Below are 22,439 nucleotides of genomic sequence, written 5' to 3'. Positions count from 1 at the left end.
CACTCTTTTTCTGCCTTTTCTGGGTTGAAGTGAACATTTTGTGATTCCATTTTCTCTCCTCTCTTATATACTGATTGCACTTCTTTGTTTATTTTTTAGTGGTTTCCCTGGAGTTTGACATATACATTTACAACTAATCTAAACCAACTTTCAAATAACACTATACTACCTCCCAGATAGTGCAGGTACCTTATTACAGAGTATTCCCAATTCTTCCTTACCCTCCCTAATAATATTGCCGTCATTCATTCACTTATCCATAAACTATAATCAACCGATACATTGTTGCTACTATGATTTTAACAAACTGTTACCTACTGGATCAATTAAGCATAAGAAAAATGGATTTAATTTGCCTTCATTTATTGCATTTCTAATGTTCTTCTTTTACTTATGCAGAAATAAGCTTCTGACCTTTTCTCTGAGGAACCATTTTTTAACATTTCTTCCAAGGTAGGTCTATTAGTGACAACGTCCCTCAATTTGTATTTGTCTGAGAAAGCCTTTATTTCTCCTTCACTTCTAAAGGATAATTACGTTCAATATATATATCCAGGCTGTTGGGTTTTTTTCTTTCAACATTTTAAATAGTTCACTCCACCCTCTTTTCACTTGGGTGCTTTCTGAAGAGAAGTCCAATGTAATTCTTACTGTTTGCCTCTATAGATAAGATTTCTTTTCCTCTCAATTCTTTCAAGATTTTTTTCTTTCCCTTTGATTTTCTGCAGTTTGAATATGACATGCCTAGGTATAAAGTTTTGGCATTTATCCTGCTTAGTGTTCTCTAAGCTTCCTGGATCTGTAGTTTGATGCATGAAACTAATTTTGGAAAACTCTCAGCCATTATCACTTCAAAGATGTTTTTAGTTCCTTTCTCCCTTTTCTTTCTAATATTCTCGTTATACATAGGTTACACTGTTTGTAATTGTTCCACATTTCATGGATGCTCTGTTATATTTTTTTTCATTCCTTTTTCTCTTTGCTTTTCAGTTTGGAAAATTTCTATTGTCATATCTTCAAGTTCACTGATTCCTTGTTCAGAAGAGTCCAGCCAACTAATGAGCCCATTAAAGCTAATCTCCATTTCTGTGACAGTGTTTTTTATTTCTAGCATTTCCTTTGATTTTTCTTAGAGTTTCCTTCTCTCATGTTACTCATCCGTTCTTCCATGTTATCTTACTTTTTTCCATTGTAGCCCTTAGCATATTCATCATGGTGATTTCAATTCCTAGTCTGGTAATTCTAAAATGTCTGCCACAATTGAGTGTGGTTCTGACATTTGTTTTGTCTCTTCAGACAGTGTTTTTTCCTTTTAGCATGACTTCTAACTTTTTCATGGAATCTGAACATGACGTACCAAAAAGCTGAGGTAAATATACATTTAGTGTGAAGTTTTAGGTTCATCTGGCTAGAAATTAGGCTGTCTTCACTGTTTGCTATAGTTGTGTCAGAGGCTAAAATTTCCTCTAGTGTCCTTATTTTTGCCTCCCCTGTTGTCTTTAGCTTTTCCTAGAATTTTTTCTTTAAATAAGATTTGAAACTTGCAGGTTTTTTTTTTTTTCAGCTGCAATACCCTGTTTTATGGAACCCTATTGGTGTGGTGGTAAATTGTGAAGGAAGGAAAATTCTATAGTCCTATGATTAAGTCTCAGTCTTTTAGTGAACCTGTGTCCCTAGGCTGTGAGCTTCACAAGTGCTATTTCACTCCCTACCCCTTAAGTGAGACAGGAAGGCTAAAGGGGACAGGAGTCGGGTATTTCCCTTCTACCAGGTTGGTTAGAATTGTAAAATGATGCAGCCACTGTGGAAAACAGTATGACATTTTCTCAAAAAATTTAAACATAGAATTACTATATGATCCAGCAATTCTACTTCTGAGTATATACCCAAAGGAATTGAAAGCAGGGACTCAAACAGATTTGTATGCCAATGTTTACAGCAGTATTATTTATAAGAGCCAAAAGGTGGAAAAAGTCTAAATGTTCATTGGCAGATGAATGGATAAACAAAATGTGATGTATATATAAATGGAATATTATTCAACCTTTAAAATGAATGAAATTCTGATACATGCTACAACATAGATGCATTTTGAAAACTGTATACTAAATGAGAGAAACCAGACACAAAATGCTACATATTATGTAATTTCATTTATATGAAATATCCAGAATGGATAAATCCATAGTCACAGAAAGATTAGTAGTTGCCATGGGGAAGAAGGGGATGGGGAGTGAACATTAATGGTTTCAGGGTTTCTTTCGCAGTGATGAAAGTATTTCAGAATTAGATAATAGTTCTAGTGGTGACACAACTTTGTGAAAATACTATAAACACAGAACTGAACATTTCAAAATGACCAAATTTATACTATATGAATTATGCCCCAATAAAAATATATGTCTCAAAAAGATAGTAAATATAGATAGATAGACAGATAGATAGATAGAGCTATTTACTATAGAAAGTGTTAAAAACATACCATCTTTTCATATACTAATTTTGGTTTTATTAACAAACAAAATTACATACCATTTTATTACGTGCCTTTTTCAACTTAATATAAATTGAAACTATTCCACATCAGTAAACCTTTCTATGAAAATTTTTAAAAAGAACTGCTGAAACATACAACGACACAGATGCATCTCAAAAACGTAATGTTTAAGAAGAGAGCCAGTCACAGTGGCTCACATCTCTAATCCCAGCTACTAGGAAGGCTGAGATGGAAGGGTCAATTGAACCCAGGAGTTTGAGACCAGCCTGGGAAATATAGTGAGATCCCTATCTGAAACAAAAAAAAGAAGTAAATTAAAACCTATAACATCTAACAAAAGAAGCTACACTTAAAAACCTACACACGTATTATTCCTTTTATATGAAGGACAGGCAAAACTAATTTGTGATAATAGAGATTCAACCACTAATTAACTGTAAAGGAGGTATTGACTGAGTTGGGGTATGAAAGAGCCTTCTGGGGTCTTAGAAATGTTCTATATCTTCATCTGAATGGTGGTTACAAAAATATGCATATATGTATAAAATCCATTTAACTGTACATGATATGTGTACACATAACTGTATATAAGTTATCGTTAATTAAATTTAAAAACGATGTGGTATTGGTGCAAGGATAGACTAATGTAACAGAATAAACAGTCCAGAAACAAAGAGATAAAAAGAGAGACATGTTTATATATGATTACCTAAATGGCAACAAAGTCTTTACTGCAGTTCAGTGGGGTAAAGTATGGTCTTTTCAATAAATGGTGATAAAATGAAAATATGAACCCTGGCTATACAAAAACATGGACTTTGATTCCTAACCCACACCATACACAAACAAATTAACTTGAGATGGAACATAGACTTAAACGTGAAAGGCAAAACTATAAGGTTTCTAAAATAAAAATTAGGAGAATACATTAATTATATTAGAATAATCAGAAATTTCTTAAACACAAAGCACAGTCAGAAAAACTGATAAATTGAACTTTATAATATTAAAGATTTTTGTTCATCAAAAGATACAATTAAGAGAGCAAAAAGGCAAACCACCAACTGAGAGAAGATATTCATGAAATTGGCATATATACACATGCATATCCTGTTACAAGTCTATAAGAAAAAGACAGAAACTTCCATTTTAAAATAGTCAAAATATTTGTTCAGGGCCTTCAATAAAGAAAATATTTAAATGGTCAATAATCATGTAAAAAGACGATTAACATCATTGCTCATTAGAGAAATGCAAACTGAAACCACAATGAAATAGCACTAGAAACCCACTAGAATAGCTCACATTAAAAAGGGCTGAAAATATCAAATGTTGGCAAGAATGCAGAGCACCTCAAATTCTCATACCTTGCTAGTGAGACTATAAAGTAGTTCAACAATGATATGGTTTGGCTGTGTCACCACCCAAATCTCATCTTGAATTACAGCTCTCATAATCCCCAGGTGTCTTGGGAGGTACCCGGTGGGAGGTAATTGAATCATGAGGGCGGTTTTTTCCTGTGCTGTTCTCTGATATTAAATAAGTCTCACAAGATCTGATGGTTTTATAAAGGGCAGTTCCCCTGCACATACTCTCTTGCCTGCTGCCATGTAAGACGTGCCTTTGCTCCTCCTTCACCTTCCACCATGGTTGTGAGGCCTCCCCAGCCATGTGGAACTGAGAGTCCATTAAACCTCTTTTTCTGTATAAATTACCCAGCCTCAGGTATTTCTTCATAGCAGTATGAAAATGGACGAATACAAACAACTTTGGAAAAATATTTAGCAGTGTCTACTAAAACTAAGTACATATATACTCACGACTCGGCAATTCCAAGCTTAGGTATATTTCCAAGAGCAATAAGTCCATATGTGCATCAAAAGGCATGTACAAGAATGTTCATAACAGGTTTCTTAAAAGCCCCAAACTGGAAAACAGCCCAAATGTTCAGCCACAGTAGAATAGCTCAAAAGTGGTGGTATAGTCATACAAAGAAGTTCTACATAACAATAAAAGAAAATGAATTCCTTATACCTAAAGTAACATGGATAAATCTCACAAACAAAATGATGAAGAAAACAACACAAACACAAAAGAATGCATTCTGTATGCTTCAATTTAAATAAAATTCAGTAAACCAGCAAAATTACTCTGGCATAAAAGAGCTTTCTGGGGTGCTGGAAATGTTTTACATTTTGATATGTGTGGTGGTTACATGGGTGTACACATATGTTAAAATTTGTTGAGCTCTCTACTGAAGTAGAGCTTGACACTGAAGTAGTGTTCTTCGCTGTATGTAAAATTATACCTCAGTGCAAAGTTAAATTAAAAGACATGTACAAAAATGATTATAGAAGCATTTTTATCATAGTTTCAAATTGGAAACAACCCAAATATCCATTAGTAGTAGAATAAATAAATTGTAATATATTCATATTGTAGAATGCTTTATGAAAATGAAAAATAACCAACCACTTACATACACAGAAACATAGATGAATCTCAAAGACATAATATTGAGCAAAAGAAGCTAGACTACATGACCCAGCAATTCCACTCCTAGGTATATATTCAAAAAGGTGAAAAGCAGGGACGCAAGCAGAAACTTGTACATCAATCTTCATAGCAGCAATATTCACAACAGCCAAAAATGGAAACCACCAAAATGTCCATCAATGCATGAACGGGTAAACAAAATTTGGTATATCTCTAGAATGGGATGTTATTCAGTCATTAAAAAATAATGTATGGATACCTGCTATGATATGGGTGAACCTTGAACACATTATGCTAAGTGAAAGAAGCGAGACACAAAAGGACCAACATTGTATGATTCCACTCATATGAGGTGGCTAGAATAGGTGAATTCATAGAGACAGAAAATAGAATGGTGGTTACCAGAGGTTAAGGGGAAGGGAAGTTATTATTTAATCAGTACAGAGTTTCAGTTTGAGATAATGAAGTAGTTCTGGAAATGAACAGTGGTAACGGTTGCCCAACAATGTGAATATATTTAATACCACTGAATTGTACATTCAAAAAGTTTACAATGGTAAATTTTATGTTATGTATATTTTATCACAATTTTTTTAAAAAGAAGCTGGACACAAAAGAATACATACCGTATGCTTCCATTTGATTAGAAAGGGGCAACAGGGAACTTCCTGGAGGGCTACCTATATCTTGGCCAGGGTGGTAGTTACATGGATGTATACATATGTTAGGAAAAAAAAAAAAAAAGTCAGGCTGTCACTTTACAGTATATAAATTATATTTCCATTTAAAAAGAAACGAGGAGAAACTCGGAAAAACTGTCATTTAAAAGTTGCTTGCATTTTTTAAATCCTTTGATTATGGAGATTTAGGCTCACCTGGAGGCAGATTCTCTCTTTGAGGAAGTCAGCAAAGTTGGCCCTTTCATTCTCACTGCTGTAAAGCCAGAAGCTCTGCATTTTTTCCAGGGGGAACCTTAAACCTGGAGCAGAGATTCAGCTTCTTGCCTTGGTCACTCAAAGTGGGCGGGGTAAATCAGAGATGCGTTTAGGAAGCTTAATGCCTTTTGAGAGTGAAGGGGAACAGGATAAGGGAGAGAGGGGCAGAATAAAAAATGTTTCTGGGCTGTGAAGGAACTGAGAAGGAATTGGGCTGGAAGTGCTGCTTGTTCCTGTCCAGGTGATTATGGGCGCGGAGGCGGAGGCGGGGCGCAGTGGCGCAGGCAAGTTTGATGAGTGCAGCTGCAGGAGATAAGCAGAGATGGCCGAAGTGACTGCTTTCAAGAGACTTGGTATGGCTTTCAGGAGACTTGGTATGACTTTCAGGAGACTTGGTGTGAGCGGTGTTGCTTCAGGCACCGGGGGAAAATTGCGGGACAAAGTTGTAATAATGGCAGATAATTTTCGTCACCTCTCTTATCTTCTTTCAAAACCTTGCACCCCGTAAACCCCTGCGGAGTGGCAGTTTGGAGCATTGGGACACAGTACCCTTGGTTTGGACACTTGCAGTCTCACGCAAAGCAACTTCTTGGGTGTGAGTGGAGAGTAAGAACATGGAAAAGATGGATAGGGGAGCTGACCGTAACCAGTTTGTAAGTACATGAATAAACATCCCTTTTAGTTATGTTTTCTGCACAGAAATTTGGCACAGGGGTGCAGGCAGCCCTCAGGCAGGCAGCCCTTGATGGCTCAAAACACTTTAACTCGGGCATTAAAAATTAAGATGACCTCAGTCTATCTATACTCACAGCCTGGGAAAGCCTGGATAGAACAGCTGCATATGCGTAACTGTTTGTCTATATGTGCATGTATTAAGTATGCATATTTTTGTAAAATTATGTCCTACTGTATATTGCTTTGAATTCAGTTTGATTTTTGCTGAGCAGTGTATTTTTAGCATTTCCTTATTGTCAGAGATTCTTTTAAAACTGTGTTCCTAAGATCAGGAGCTTTGCCCAGTGGCTGGGGTCTTGCTACCCACCTCCGAGCTGGAGAGCAAACCACCGGCCCTCCTGCCTCTCACTCCTGTGCCTCCCCCATTCCCTCATGAGCTCTATTTCTTCGTTCCAGAAGGCTTTGGGTCACGACATTTTGGGGCCTGGCTTCACTCCTTTCAGGGGAGTAAAGAGGGGTCTCTTTTCAGAGCCATATCTGGTACAGTTCAGAAATCCAAGAGCAGGCAGGTCAGGTCATCCAACGTTGCTGCACTAGTGTGAAGAACGTAGCAATCCCAGCATGCTCCCCTCTCCCCACCACCTCTCCACAGTTTGCTAAGTAAAGGGACTGAGGTGAGACGGGTCAAGGGACTTGCCCTGGCATACAGCAAGCTGGTAGCAGGGATGGAACTTGCACCCAAGTCTTCTGATTCCCCCAAGGTCAATGTTTTGCCACCCCTCACCCTGTACACCCTCCCCATAAGTAACTCCAGTGGAGAAATGAAATTATCCACAAACCACAAACTAAAGCCACAAAAACACTTCTATTTAATTGCTACCACAAATACAGAATAGAATTAAGGCAGTATAATACATTTCCACTTATCCTCACAAGCTTTCATACAGTAAACTTTGCTTAAAGTGTCTATTTGAATCAGCAATTGAAATTTTTATTAAACAGCAGTTTTCTTGAATTGTAGAGAAAAATCATTTCCTGGTCTGTCAAGTGTGCTAATAAAAGACATCTACGACTTAACATCGTGTATCACTGAACCTTAGCCAAGTGTGGTGGGATTGGCTGATGTCGGATGTGTGGTAGGATTGATTGGTGTAGGCATCTCTTTCTTCTCCTTGCCCCCCTCCCCATCCGGGAGGAATGCTCATTTACAACCTCCCAGCAGTATTCAATTCGCTTCTTGCTGCCATTTATTACTTCAAATTCCCTTTTGAATGAAAGCAATAATGCAAAAACTGTAAAAACACCAGGCTGTTTAAAAAACAAAATCTTCAGTAAAGAGTAGTTATGACTTATAATATTAAAAATATTACCATAATTGATCCTAGCAACCGTAAGATTGGATTTTAGGAGAAGAAACTAGTTTATGAATGGATTTATTTCTCTGGAACTAAATGAAAAAAAATCCCGGCAAATGCTAAAAAAGGTAAATAATTACAAATAAGGTAAAAACGTCTTATCATTTGCAACCATGTTTGACTATAAAAAGCACCAATGTTCAAATTTTCAAAAAATAGAAATAATTTGGTGTGCCCATATCTTTCCTTTTGCCATTTGATCTCATAGGCATAAAAAATGTATTTTTAATAAGAGCTTATCAAATTGTATTCTTCAAATATGGGTCATATGTTGTTGCTGAAATTTAGGAAAGAAACTTTCCAGTACTTGTACTTGATCACAACTGCTTTTCTGACTGCTATTAAAAGTACAATATAGAGTTACACATTGAAGAACATAAAGCTGTGCAGTCACATTAACGGAAGCGTTCACCACAACACACCTTTAGCATTGCGCACATACCCCTCTCCCAACCCCCTCGGGGAATGGGAGAAGAAAGCAGGAACAAGGCAGAGGAAATGAGGAAAGGGGAGGAGGGACAGAGGAGTGGGAAAAAAATCAAAGTCTAAAATTTCAAGGATCACTGAGGACTGAAGGTCGACCATAGTTGGAAAGGGAGGTTTGGAACAACAGATGTCAAACTTGAGGGAAATTAAGGTCTCTAAAATAGCAAGCACACACACACCCACGCACACACTTTAATACAGTACATTAAGTAAAGGATGAGTACGCCTGAAAGGTGGATGTAGCTTACACCATCTCTATGTGTCAGTGTCTGTGTCTAGATGCAGTAAGGCATCTCACTTTGGATTACATATGCAAAACAAACTAGAAAGGGGACCACTGCCTGGCCACCTACGAGAGCATTTTTCACACAGCCATTTCATCAGGATCATCTTCAACATCAATAACCACGACATCATGGTAATCATTGGTACTGGTAGTGACTACAGTAGGGTCAGGAAGGTCAGCGATGGTGTCAGACTCCAGCTGGCTGGCAGCAGGCTTGGTGGGCCCAGCGGCAGGGCTAGAGGCCGACTCAGGGAGGTCACTGTCGTCAGACACAGGGTGGGCAATGGCAGGGATCTCGGGGCAATGGGAGGCAGAGAGCTCAGGGTTGTCAGCAGCAGTGGGCTTAGGGTGGCTGGTAGTGGCAGGCTTGGGATAGTCAGCAGTGGTGGGCTCAGCATGGCTGGTAGCTGGCTTGATGTGGCCAGTGGTGGGTTTAGGGTGGCTGGTGGCAGCACTGAAGGCAGACTTGGAGTGGCTGCCAGCAGAGACATGGTGGCCAGTGATGGGCTTGGGGTTGCTGGAAGCAGGCTTGAAATGAACAGAGTCAGGCTTGAAATGGACAGAGTCACCCTTGAAATGGACAGAGTCAGCCTTGAAATGGACAGAGGCAGGCTTAGGGTAGACAGTGGCAGACTTGGGGTGACCAGAGGCAGGCTTGGAGTGGCCAGAGACAGGCTTGAGGTGACCAGAGGCAGCCTTGGAGTGGCTAAAGACAGACTTGTGGTGGGTAGAGGCAGATTTGCGATAGGCAGAGGAGGATCTGGAATGGGGCTTAGGGTGGCCAGAGGCACGGTCGGGGTGGCCAGCTGCAGCATCACCAGGTAATGGAACATTCCGGACATTCATCGGGGTTTCCTCCACAGCAGGACAGGCATGGGCACGGTCTTGTTCACGAGCTTGGTCGCGAGCATGGGCACGGGCGCGGGCCAGGGTACGGGCCTCCTGCATCTCACGAATATCACTGATGAGGCCAGAGAAGAATATGATAGGGTGCCGCATAGCATGGAAGATGGTCCAGTATTCTCTTCGGAAATTCTCATTGAGGAGCCCGTAGATCACAGCGTTGAGGCAGCTGTTGAAGTAGGCTATGAAGTAGGCTGCAAGATAAAGCCAGTTGGGGATCTTGCCTGCCATCTCCTTCGGACTGACAGCCACCAAGACAGTGAGCACGTTGATAGGGCACCAGCACACTGCAAAGAGGAGGAAGATCACAAACATGGTTAGAAAATTGCGAACCTCAGCAAGTTGGTTGTCAGGATTCTGCCCTGCAGGGTCACGGGCCGCCAGCACTTTGGTCCAGATCCTCACGTAGCAGAAACCCACGATGAGGAGAGGGAGGACGAAGTGGATGCAGACGATGGTAACAGTGAAGACAGGGTTGTTCAGATAGTTGAAGATGCAGGTGTAGGTGCGAGGATCGTACTCGATGGTGCCAATGTACATGTTGGGCAGGACAGCCAGGACGGTCATGATCCAGGTGATGACCAGGTAGATGCAGGTATTGCGCACACTGAAGATCCGTTCGTACTGGAGGCTGTGGCAGATGTAGCAGTAACGGTTGATAGCGATTGCCACGATGTTGAAGATGGAGCCGACCACACTCAGCCCTGTGATGAACCCGACCATCTGGCACTGTAACTGGCTCAGATCCCAGCCCCCAATGGACATGGCATGCAGCATCAAAGGGTATGGGTAGATGGCCACCAGCATATCGGCCACAGAGAGACTGACCACGAAGATGTTGCCTGAAAAACATATCGAGGGAGGGAGAAAGGGGAAAGACAGAGAAGAATAAGTGGTTTAAGTACAGAAATCTACACATTTAAGGTGCAGGGGAAGGCCAGCTGGATTATGACCTTTTATAATTCCAGAATTCTTTTAAAGAAATGCTCTGAGAAAGAAGCGAACATAAGACAGACAGCAGTGAGCACAAAATCCCTGCCAGGAGCCTTCACAATGAGACAGGGTCATGCTGCCACCATCTTAGAGAAAAACAAAATGCAAACGTTTCCTTCACTGGAGGTGAGGGGGAGGGAGAAGGAGGAGGGGAGTAGAGGTGAGCTAGAGGGACTTGTTTTTAGGAAGGAGGCTGGAGAGTGGGGGGCAAGGAGAGACACTGGAGGGATGTCAGGAAGCCTCAAACTAAAAAAATTAAAAATAATTAAATAATTAGAAAAAGATAAATTAGCCATCTCCCTCCTATAGCCTAGCATTGCATTTATAATAAACACATTACTAGAGAGAAGATTCTGAGAAAAGGCATTAGAGGCCATCTTCTTAAACAGTCTTTTCCGATGGGATCAAGCAGTAACCTAAAACCTTGCCAAGTCAAATACTTACCGTTCCGAGGTAACCTAAGAGTGAAAACTGAGGGGAAGCAGGGAAGCCCTGTAAAATTTAGTCTGAGACCAAAGAAGTAGTGAGAGGGCGGGCGGGAAGGGTGGCGCGAGGTGGGCGGGGGTGGGGGGGAGGAGAAAAAATCCTGCAAGGATTAGCAGAAGTGCCTGTTTCAGTTACATGCCGCGTCCACGTCCACGCGCAGAGCCGCGCACTGGCACATTCAGCGCCCTGCACAGAGCTCCCAGCGCCGGGCACTGAACTTTACTGGAGCCTTCAGGTTAAACAGGATAGAGAAGAAGGGTCACCCCCACTCCGGTCTTGTAGGGCTGAGGTGGGAACTTTTTTGTAAAACCTTTCACAAAAAAGAGAAGGAAGAGGCCAGGTGCAGGCGCAGAGCCCTCTTTCTTTGGAGACACCTCGTTGCTAATTAGCATTGGTTTGGCAAAATATTGCACTTCATCTTGGACTAGGAGAAAATGAGCGCTTTTGAAAAGGGCAAAGGTATGGCTCCTTCTTCCTCCTTCCTCCAGCGCTGTCAGCACTCGGCCTCAGCACTTTCTACCGAAGAGGTTCTTTCTATGGTTTTCCGGCAGAGTAATGAATTCAGGGAAATACAGCCGAAAAGAGAAGGGGCAAAGCCTTAAAAACAAAACCACAACAACCATAAAAGCCTTTATTTGAATTATAGAAGGAAGGAAGGAGAAGGAGAAAAAGAAAGAAAAGAAATCTAAAGGGAATAAAATGGGCTTCGCAGGTCGCCCCCAGGATTCCGTGGGTTTGCACCTCGGGACCGCACCGCGGGGGTGAAGGTGAAGACCTAGTGTATGGCCCCACGATTCCAGGAGACGAAGGAGAAATCGGAGACACCCACCAGACTTTGTAAGAAAACTTTTAATGACTGTGTGCCAGTCAGTGCGTTTTTAAACTTGTTCAGTGTTCGTGACTCCTTGCCCAAGCAAAGTAATCCCCCAGACCCCGGCCGCCACCTCTCCCCCACGCCCTGCCCGGGAGAATCCAGCTGGTCTCCCCACCCTCTCAGACCCCCTTCGGTCCCCACTCCTAGCCCCAGCCGATCGAGAATCTGGCGGTGGAAATTCCAGGCGCCGCCCCTCCCTCCCCCGGCCTGAACTCGGAGTTTGGGCGCCTTTGCCCCTTCCCCTCCCTTCCAGAGCCCTCTCCCGCCCAACCTGTAAGCCGGACTAGCTGCTCTGCAGTGTCTGCCGCCCCCACCCCCAGCACAGGTCGCAGCGCCCGGCATCCTCCCACGCTTCCCTCCTGCCCTGCTCGCCGCCGGCCCCCGGCCCCCGGCCTCCTCCCGCTCGGCAGTGGCTAGCAGCGGGGGAAGTCCCGCCTGCGGCTCCCAGACCCCAGCCCTTTGCAGCCTCTCTGAGTCCCCCATCGCCGCCTCTGAGCTCTCCCGTCGCCCTCCCGCCAATCCCTACTCGGTTTTGCTGCCTTCTATCCCTCCACCCCCAGCAACGCCCAGCTCCCAAGCCTCTTGGCCGGCCCGCCCTGCGACCCCCCAGTTCCCCGCTTACGGACCTTGGGATCTCCGCTGCCGCCGCCGTCGCTGCCACCGCCTGCTGTGCCCGACCCGCCGCTTGCCTCTCTCTGCCGTTCGCCCTGGGACGGGCGGACGGAGCTCGGCTCCGGCGGGCTCAGACCTCCCTGCTCGATTCTCGGGCGCGGGGGTCTGTGCTCCGCCGCCCGGGATCTGCCCGGGAGCCGTCCTGGAGCCCCAGGGCCGCGGCGAGCGGGCTCTTGGCCCGGCTAGGGAGAGGCCACTGCGTTGCGCTCTGGTAAGGGCCGCCGCGGCCGCCGCGAACTTAACTTTCACAGAGCAGGTCGCAGCCCCGCTGCTCCCTCCGCGTCAGTTCGGTCCGCGCTGCCTCAGCGCGGCCGCCCTTGCGGCGTCCGGCTCGGCTTGCTGTCCCCGGGCGAATCGCCTGACTCTCCCGCTCGGGTGCCGGCTCCCTCCGCATCAGGCCCCGACGGGACAGGGATCCTCGGGCTGCCGCGCACCACGGGAACGCTTTGTACTTGGATGCCCAAAGCTAATTCTCTGTGCTCTCTCGGCCTTGAGAACCTCCACGTTTAGAGGGCCGGGACAGAATACTACCACCCCCAGGCTTGCGGGGAATTTGGGAGCAGGGATGTTCAATATGAGGGCACTGTCCATAGATTCTCTATTCGGGGAGCTCAAAAACTAACGCCCTAGGGGTTGCAAGTCTCTGCACACTGGGTAGGGAGAAGAAGGGGTGGCTTACCAGAATTCCGGAGCTTCTTGTTCTTCGTCACAGCCAAAATGACCATGGAGTTGCCGATTAGGTCTACAACGATGGTGATAACCATCGCGCAGAACATAAAGATGATTAGAGCCGGTGGGTATTCTGGCTGGGGTAGCTTACAGCCAATACAGCCATAGGGGGTGGGAACCGCTAGGGTGGGCCCCATGTTGCTCCTGGGGATCGTTAAGATCTCCCAGCAGGCTCAGGATCAGCAGCCAGGTCCAGACAGCAAACACCTGTTCTGTCACCAGGAGCTCCAGGAAAGCGTGCCTCCCTCTCTGAGAGTCAGAGAGCAAATGACAGCATCCCGCCCCTCTCCGATGAGCTTTTAAAGCCTCAAGAGGCGGCTAGCCCCACCCCAAATCCCTCCCCCCGACCAATCAGACCTCCCTGAATACCCCCCCCTTGGCTACCCCCTCTTATTGGACAAATCCACATTGAGGTGTCATCTTGCTTCCGACTGCCTTGTATGTACTTCCTCTCTAGCCAGCCTGCCCTGCCTCTCAATCTCCCAGGTACCTTGCAAGCATCATGACTAGCTCGGAGTCCACCCCACACCCCCTCCACCAGCCCCTGTGCATTCGTTTCTAGCAAGTTCTTCTCCCTCTCTCCTCCAGTGCAAACACCTGGCAAAGAGATGTAGATTGCAGAGCCGGAGCACAGAGTCTTTCATAGGATCCAGTGCTAGACCAAGCCAGTCCACAGCCCCCAGCAGGGTATAGGGGATAGCCGGTGGCCCCTTGAACGCTAGATGCTTGCCTCTGCAAGTATCCTTGTGAGGTCCATCCCACGCCCCATGCCCTTGCCTGTCTAGAGCCTTCTGTGTCCCGCGGGGAACAGGGGACTACTGCTGGGAGCTCCCACCCCCAATCTGGGTCCCTAATCCCTAGGGAACTTAACCCCGCTCCCTTTCTCGCCAGGAGCCTCTTGGCTCCCTTAGCGGCAGCTGCGAGTAGCCGCTCAGTCCGGTCCAGGTCTTGCACTCTCCATAAAGAGATGTACCCTGCGCCCGACTCTGGAAGTGGGGAGCGGGTCTGCACCCTGGGACCTAGGGAAGGCATTGGTGGCCACTCGGTCCTCAGTTTGGGGGCGAACGGGAGCGGGAGCTCGTCTCCTTTCCAGCTGCCGGCAGCCAGGCGGCGGAAGCCAAGGGACGCTTTGGGAAAAAGTAAAACAGGCAATAAAGCTCTTCTCTTGGGTCCCCGCTTCTCAAGGAAACTCAGGACGAGAGGCTCTGACGCCTCTCCCTCTCGGGATGCTCGGCATTCTCTACTGAGCGGCACGGGGCAGTCAGGAAGGCTGAAGGAGCTGCGCCGCAGCCGCGGGAAAGGTGCGGAGGTGTCACGCGGCTAAACCAAGAAGCCTCTGGCTGACCGGCGATCCCTGCCTCAGTCAGGATTCCTCTCGGTCTTTCTCCTTTCCCATGCCCTTCTGGGGTTCTCGTTTCGACCCCATCCCTCTCAGGCCTCCCCCCTCGCCCTCCACACCGCGGATCTCTGTCCCCGTGCGTCACAGTTCCCCTGCGGTGCGCCCAGGATCTCGCTCCGCGGGGACCACGGAAAATTCGAATATTCGGGCAAAACTAAAGGGGCGTGATTCGGACACTCGTTCCCTCAATAACCTTGGTCACGGGAATGGATTTCTGCCGGCTACTAAAAGTTACGGCTCCTGTCGAGAAGCCTTTCAAAATCTCAGTAAACACCTTGAAACTTGTTCCAGACTAGTCTTCTTGCCACAGTAGGGGAGAGGGGTTGCACTGGCCGGGAGCGCCATCGTCTGGACACAGCAGCCCTCTTGCCCCGGGGTGGGTGGGGGGACGGACAAGGCGGGGTAGGTAGTAGGGGCCTGTTACGCGACGAACTTCAACATTCAGATACCTTTAACGAAAAAAACAGACACTGTTGAAAACCAAGATTGCACACACTGTCTCTAGCTATAAAGCCTAAACTGGAAATGTGTCTCCTTGTTTGAAAATGAAGCCCCCACCCCAATCCTGCGGCTTTCGCGTCTGTGAACTGAATCCGGCGCGAATTACAATCTCCCGCCTGGAGGCTTTTCACATTCATTATCTCACTGCCCCTCGCTGGCTGGAACTCCCGGCCGCGCGCGCTCGCATTTTTTTCCGTAAGTGCAGACAGTGAAGGGGCTCCGCTGTCCTCCCCACACAGCTGTGCGCCCTGTAAAGAGGCTGTCAGTCAAAAGCCCGTCCGCGCAGTGGAGTATTTTGTAGGATGCACATCAGGCTGTTCTTGCTGGTTCCCCGAGAGTTTGGATCCCTTCACTTGTGGGAAGGGGCGATTTTGAATTCAAATAAGTAAACAAAATACATTTGAAGGAAAAAACGAAACACACCTTCTAGTGACTTAAGACACTAGACTCCCCCTGCCCCAAACAAACCTGTAAGGAGAGCTTGCAAACCTTGCAGGCATTGCTACACTCCAGTGTACTGCACTTCTGAGATGAGGTGGCTAGAGCCCCCGGGAATTCCCCGCGGATGTGGCCTGAACATCCCTGGGATTGAGGAGCAGGCAGGAGAGCAAGGGTGAGCTGACTCCCTGGCCCCTACCCCTGCTTGGACACTACTTGACTGTGACCTGGTGGGACTTGGTTTTTCAATACTAGACAAGTGGAAAAGGTGAATATTTTAATGATCTAGGGGGACAGAATTATGTATCCGGTTAAAATAATTTTCTTATTTTTATGAACTCGTCTTAATAAAGATTCTGAACATGGCCCCAGTACTAAGAAAATCAGATATTGACAAAAAAATTAGCCGGGCGTGGTGGCGGGCGCCTGTAGTCCCAGCTACTAGGGAGGCTGAAGCAGGAGAATGGCGTGAACCCGGGAGGTGGAGCTTATAGTGAGCCGAGATCCCGCCACTGCACTCCAGCCTGGGCGACAAAGCAAGACCCCGTCTCAAAAAAAAAAAGAAAAAAGAAAATCAGATATTGAATCAGTTATAAGGATACATATGAGGGAGAAAATCGGTCCCTGTTTGCAAAGGCAAAACAAGTCTCGTGCAGTAAGTTCAATTGCTTTGGAAGAGTTAAGGGGGAGTCCTTTATTGGATAGAGTGTAATGTGCATGGTTTAAGATTCCACTGGATTTTTAATTAAGTCTCTTTCTAAAAGGCTTGTTAGGAAGCCCTAAATAACTGGAGTGGACATAAACCCTTTATTTGAGATTTTAAAGCTATTAAGATATCCAATCCAAATAGAGGAAACCTGGAATATTCCCAGAGGAATGAGAGGGCAAGTGAGCAGTTTCTGCTCAGGAATGGGTAATCCTTCTGAGCACATGAGGGTACTGCCTGCATCTTCAGTTCCCTGATTTACATCGGCAATGATGGAAGGTTACCTTTTATCAAACGTTCTAAGCTCTCTGTTTAACCCTCCAGCACTATAATAATGCCTTGCTTGTAACTAGTGAGTACAGTTTTAAATAAGCATATTATAGTTTTCAAAAGTTCATTGGGAAAATGTTTTCTCACAATGTCATTAAATAGATAAGAAAACTGAGGCCCCAGAGAGGTGAAAGAACTTGTCCAAGGTCATGCCAAGGCTTAAATCCAGGCTGGATTCCCTCTCAGCTCAAGGTCTTTCTCCCACAACCCAGCTTCATCAGACAGTGGTTTTTGTTTGTTTGTTTGTTTTGTTTGTTCGCTTGTTTTTGTTTTTTTGTTGTTGTTTTTGTTTTTGTTTTTTTGAGATGGAGTCTTGCTCTGTCGCCCAGGCTGGAGTGCAGTGGCGCGATCTCGGCTCACTGCAAGCTCTGCCTCCTGGGTTCACGCCATTCTCCTGCCTCAGCCTCCCGAGTAGCTCTGGGACTACAGGCACCTGCCAACACGCCCAGCTAATTTTTTGTATTTTTAGTAGAGGCGGGGTTTCACAATGTTAGCCAGGATGGTCTCGATCTCCTGATCTTGTGATCCGCCCGTCTCCGCCCCTCAAAGTGCTGGGATTACAGGTGTGAGCCACCGCGTCCGGCCAAGACGGTGTTTTGCTCTGGGTCTTAATAGTGTGGACTTTGTGTTCTCTTTTTTGTTGCTGTTGTTCTGGTTTTTGTTTGTTTGCCTGTTTTTATTGAGATGTAATTCATATACCTCATATACCATAATATTCACCCTTTAAAGTGTAGAATTCAGTAGTTTTTTGTATATACACAAAGTTGTGCAATCATCATCACTATCTAATTTCAGAACATTTTCAACACCCCAAAAAGAACCCTCATACCAATTAGTAGTCACTCCAGACTCCCCGCCACCTTCCAGCTCCTAGAAACCATAAATCTGCTTTCACTTTCTATGGACTTGCCTATTCTGGACATTTCACCAAAACAGAATCTCACAATATGTGGCCTTTGCATCTGGCTTTTTTCCCTTAGCATAATGTTTTCAGGTTCATCAATGTAGTAGCATAGGTCAACACTTCATTCCTTTTTATGGCTGAATAATATTCCATTGTATAGATACACCACATTTCATTTACTCATTCATTGGTGGATGCTTGAGTTCTTTCCACTTTTGACTATTGTGAATAATGCTGCTATGAACATTTTGGGCTCTCTTTTAGCCCCAAGCAACCCTGGTCCAAGTTAGACAGGCAGAGGGCCTCTTAGTGCCAGCTCACACCTCCCGTCTCCCCCAGGTGGAGCTGGACAGCCAGCCAAGGCCTGTTCCAAGCACTCCAACTTTCTCTGGCCAATGCTTCTCTCAATTTATTAGATCATTTGTTAAAGCTACATGGGACCATTGGTTGATACTCTAATGTATAAGACTAGCAAAATGAGAATTTGATGCAAACCCAATAAGAATGAAAATGTCTTTCAGCTTGAATACAAGCAGAACATTCTCAATTTGTTTCCACATGTTTGGAGACAACTACCTCTTCATAGGAAGTTACATAGGAGCCTCTTGGCTGCTTCACCCATCCAGGCCCTGCCCCTCCTGCTCCTCCCATCCCAGCAGCTTAATGAAGTGGGACTACATTTGACTCAATTCTTGAAAGTAAAAACAAGCCCAGAACCCAGCTTTACTACTAGTCAGATATGTGACCTTGGGCAAGTTACTTAGCGTCTCTGTGTCTCAGCCACCTCACTATAAAATGCAGATAATCACAGTGCCTCATCATAGGGTTGATAGGAAAGTTAAATGAGATAATGCATATAAGCACTGAGAACACTACCCAGAACAGAAAAAGCATTCAAAAACCACTGGCTATTATCATGATTATTATCCTGAAAGTTTCTAATACTCTGTCTAGACTCTACTCTGTTGCACTTCCATTGAGAACAGGGGCTCTCTGCGATATCAGGAGACTCTGCACCTAGCACACCCAGGCTCCAATTCCTGGCAGAAGCCAACCAATGGGCACACACTAGCATCCCAGGCCCCTGTGAGTGTGTCAGATGGAAAGGGACATACAGAGTGACTTGCCTTTTCACTGCCCCCCACAACCCCCGAGATGCTTCACTGACACAGTTTGTATCTTTTTCCACAAGAAAGAACAATCAAATTCCTTTACATCGTTTCAGTATGAAAGTAGGAAGTATGGTTGGCCTAGAAATAGGTGAGATCCCAAGTGCATAGGTGGCTGGGAGAGCTCAGGCAGGAGAAACTGGGTTTCAACGGAGCGTGGGGCCAGTCCAGGCTAAGGGAGCTCTGGTTCCAGGTCGAAAGTGGGGCCAAGACTCCAATGGTAAGGTTGAATCTTCAAAGGAACTGAGTAGGGATTTAGGCAGGAATGAAGTCATTGGAACCGAGAACAAGCCAAGTCACAACATTAGCCAACTCAAGAGCAGTTTGGGACAGGTACTGATTTTTTTCCTAATCAGACTGCGTCTGGTCACATTTACTTTACCAACTTGGAGACACCGTTCACATTTGTGAAATGAACAGAGAGAATGATTGTCCTCTCCAAATCCCCCAGGCTTAATTCATCATGGTTAGAACCACTTTATCTTCTCCTTGTGCTTGAGTCATTAGAGAGAGCAGGACACATGCATTTCCTTTAGTGCAATCAGGGGCTCACCAAAATAATTAGCAGCCAGTATTTCCAGGATCTTAGTGTCTGATAAAGACTACAGGTTAGGTGGTTCAAATCAAAGGGTGACCAGGGAGAGAAGACGCACATTAATTACTTGTAGTAACACTTGGACTCCCTTCCCCTTGTACAATTTATCTGCTAATTAGAGCTTAATGAACAATATCCATTTTCTTAGCTTCTCATTCTAGCCAAGCATGATCACCCGTGCATTTAACGACTGTCCCTTTTATTAATCATCCTCATGACTTCTCATGCAAAAAGCCCTCCTCCACTTGCTCTGTGAGTTCTGCTTCAGCCACCCCACTGCAGGACATAGGCCATGGGTACCCATTAAGCCCCAAACCAGTCCTCTTTCTGCGAACCCTGCAGGTCCACTCAGCTCCTAATAATAGCTAACACATATGAATGTGTGCTTCCTAGATGCCAGACTGTTCTGAGTGCTTTGCTCATATATTCTCATTTAATCCTCACAATAGGCCTATGAAATAGGCACTATTACTATGCCTGCTTTACAGATGAAGAAAGTGAGGCCCAGAGAGGTTAAGTCACTTGCCCCAGGTCACACAGGTAATAAGTGGTAGAGCCAGAAGTCTAACTTGGGCAGTCTGGCTCCAGAATCTGTGCTTTAACCACTGTGCCTCATGGCTTATTTGCAGGCCACACCTGGTTCCTGGCTCTAGAGCACTGGGTCTCAAATTTAGTGCATGACAGAGCAGCCAGGAGTATTAAGAAATTGCAGCTTTCTAGGCCTTCCCCTAGAGAGTGTGACTTGGCAGGTCTGTACGGGGCCCTGGAATCTGCATGTTTCCCAAGTGTCTCAGGTGATTCTAATGCAAGCAGCCCAGGAATCCCTTCTAGAGAAATCCTGCTGTTAACTCAGCCCTGCCCCTAGCCCTTGGCAATTTAAGGATGTCTAGGTCTGTCATCCAGTGACTCCTGCTGAGTTTGCTCTTGAGGGTTTATATACTAGTCCCTGCTGGGACTTTATAAACTTGTTCTAGTGTATAAGATCTTGCTTTGACCCTCAGACTAAACCCTACCCTCTATCACAGTTCTGGTGATGGGGTTCCCAGCCCAATGCCTGATAATAACCTGACCAGCTCCCTGAAAACAGGGCAACCAGAGGCCTGACTATGGCCACCTTCCTGCTGCCAAACTCATCCTGATGGCTTGCCTGAGTAGGGTTGCCTATTTATCAAAAATACAGGATGCTCAGTTAAATTTGAATCCCAAGTACATTCTTAGTATAAGTATATTCCATGCAATATTCGGACATACTTATACTCAAAATTGTCCACTGTTTATCAGAAATTTAAATTTAGCCAGGGGCCGTGTATTTTATCTGGCAGCTCTATGGCTGCGGACCACCTGTAGCTGACCCTAAATGAGCCAAATATGAGGACTTGGCATTGGTTGGTAATGGGATTTTCTTTCTCCCCTTCCCCCGAGCAAGGGGCTCAGTCAACCCTGGGGAGCAGGAACTATTGATTCAGGATTGGAGGGGCCCAGTTCTGGCTGTCAACTTGCCATCTGCCTCTGGCGGATACTGATTTGATATATTTCCTACTCGCTTTAGCCAGCCTCCTCTGTTTGCTCAGGAGATTCATAACCCATTCTTAGAAACATGCCTGTCTCCTGTTTGCCTGAGTAGTACGCTACTGTAGAATCGCCCCTGTACGTAGCAGTTTGCAAATTGACCCCTGGCATTTGAGGAATGTACATACTGTTTTGAATTGGGCTTATATTTGAAACGACTGTGTGTTTTGTATCCATGCCATCTTGTAGGTATGGTGAGTCTCTCTCCGAACCTCAATTGCAGCTGCCCTGGAAGACTTAGCTTTTGGGGGTCCTTCCCAGGACTCCCCCAAATCAATTTTGTATATTCCATGTAACATATCTTCTGAGTCTGACCATTATAAAGCTACCTCCAAATGCAGACAACATCTATCTAGCCATTTTCACATGATGTTATAACACACGAGCAGTCAGAAAAAAAAAGTATACTTTTATTGAAATAGCTTTGTCACCTAAGCCAGAGGGTTGGGACTCCCTTATTACATCTGTATCCATTCTAGTCAGAGGGAGGCCCATGAGTGAAAGGTGGGGAATTGTGTGTACAGGAACCACCTCCTCAAGCTAAGTATTACTGGAATGGAGAGGAAAGTGTGTGGAGGGCCCAGGGGGGAGATGTGTCTGTCTGGAATATTAAAGAAGCAAAAGGACAAACTGCAATAAAACACGCTAGCAGGACCATTCATTTGGCTGTAGAGTCACCAAAGGAAATCACTGGAACTTTCTGTAAGTGGATGCAAATGAGGAAACAATCCCACACTAGCCTGGGTCGAAAAGACTCCAAGACTTCACCTATTTTTTTCATTGCTGAGGCCAGCGCCAATTTGTAAGACTTAAAGCCCCAGGGAATTAGATTGAACAGATATTGTAATTCCAGTGACACAGGGCCCACAATGAGCCCCCATTTGGAACAAACACCAAAAACACTTCCTGAGTCTCCCCTCTGGCCTGACCTGCAAGGCTCTGATCTGAGGAGCAGCTGATGAAGTAGGCGTCAAAAAGAAGCCCCCTTCCTCTCCTGCATCCTCAGATAATTGCCTGCTGACAATTAGCTAGTAGTTCTGGTGCTTCTATCCTCTCTGAAACAGATAGTTCATAGTTAAGTTCCACTTTCTAGTCAAAATTGCCTTACGTCGCCAGTATGCTTCTCACTGTCTGCTTTCTGTTCTCACTGTGTGATGAAGACATACCCGAGACTGGGAGGATAAAGAGGTTTAATTGGACTTACAGTTCCACATGGCTGGGGAGGCCTCAGAATCATGGTGGGTGGTGAAATCCACTTCTCACATGATGACAGCAAGAGAAAAATGGGAAGAGAAAAATGAGGAAGATGTAAAGGCGGAAACCCCTGATAAAACCATCAGATCTCGTGAGACTTATTCACTACCATGAGAACAGTATGGGG

General features: G+C 45.2%; 1 protein-coding gene, 1 long non-coding RNA gene and 1 other non-coding gene across 4 annotated transcripts, besides 2 other annotated features; 1 reads left to right on the top strand and 2 right to left on the bottom strand.

Annotated features, from left to right (window-relative positions):
- On the bottom strand, positions 7,450–13,722 carry GPR50 (G protein-coupled receptor 50). 2 transcript variants are annotated; one of them, XM_011531216.3, is made up of 2 exons: positions 10,214–10,322; positions 7,450–9,980 (listed from the first exon to the last, which is right to left on the bottom strand). In XM_011531216.3, coding segments are annotated over exons 1-2 (1,113 nt in total). In that variant the 5' UTR covers positions 10,215–10,322; the 3' UTR covers positions 7,450–8,868. The 2 variants fall into 2 exon arrangements, with proteins under 2 accessions (XP_011529518.1, NP_004215.2); NM_004224.3 differs by adding an exon at positions 13,398–13,722 and having other exon boundaries at positions 8,841–10,535.
- On the top strand, positions 12,470–15,108 carry GPR50-AS1 (GPR50 antisense RNA 1). The gene is made up of 3 exons (NR_135300.1): positions 12,470–12,929; positions 13,431–13,511; positions 14,036–15,108. It is a non-coding gene; the product is annotated as a GPR50 antisense RNA 1 (long non-coding RNA).
- Positions 14,089–15,057: an enhancer, noted in NCBI's record as "H3K4me1 hESC enhancer chrX:150343721-150344689 (GRCh37/hg19 assembly coordinates)". NCBI's record gives its function as "activates a minimal SCP1, AML or CMV promoter by ChIP-STARR-seq in naive H9 embryonic stem cells {active_cell/tissue: H9 hESC(naive)}" and the evidence as "EXISTENCE:reporter gene assay evidence [ECO:0000049][PMID:30033119]".
- Positions 15,058–16,027: an enhancer, noted in NCBI's record as "H3K4me1 hESC enhancer chrX:150342751-150343720 (GRCh37/hg19 assembly coordinates)". NCBI's record gives its function as "activates a minimal SCP1, AML or CMV promoter by ChIP-STARR-seq in naive H9 embryonic stem cells {active_cell/tissue: H9 hESC(naive)}" and the evidence as "EXISTENCE:reporter gene assay evidence [ECO:0000049][PMID:30033119]".
- On the bottom strand, positions 21,980–22,084 carry MIR4330 (microRNA 4330). The gene has a single exon (NR_036256.1). It is a non-coding gene; the product is annotated as a microRNA 4330 (primary transcript).
- Positions 22,085–22,439: the final 355 nt, after the last annotated feature.

This window comes from Homo sapiens, chromosome X (assembly GCF_000001405.40).
Source record: "Homo sapiens chromosome X, GRCh38.p14 Primary Assembly".
NCBI classification, from domain to species: Eukaryota; Metazoa; Chordata; class Mammalia; order Primates; family Hominidae; genus Homo; species Homo sapiens.
This window is presented reverse-complemented; position numbering and strand designations above follow the sequence as displayed.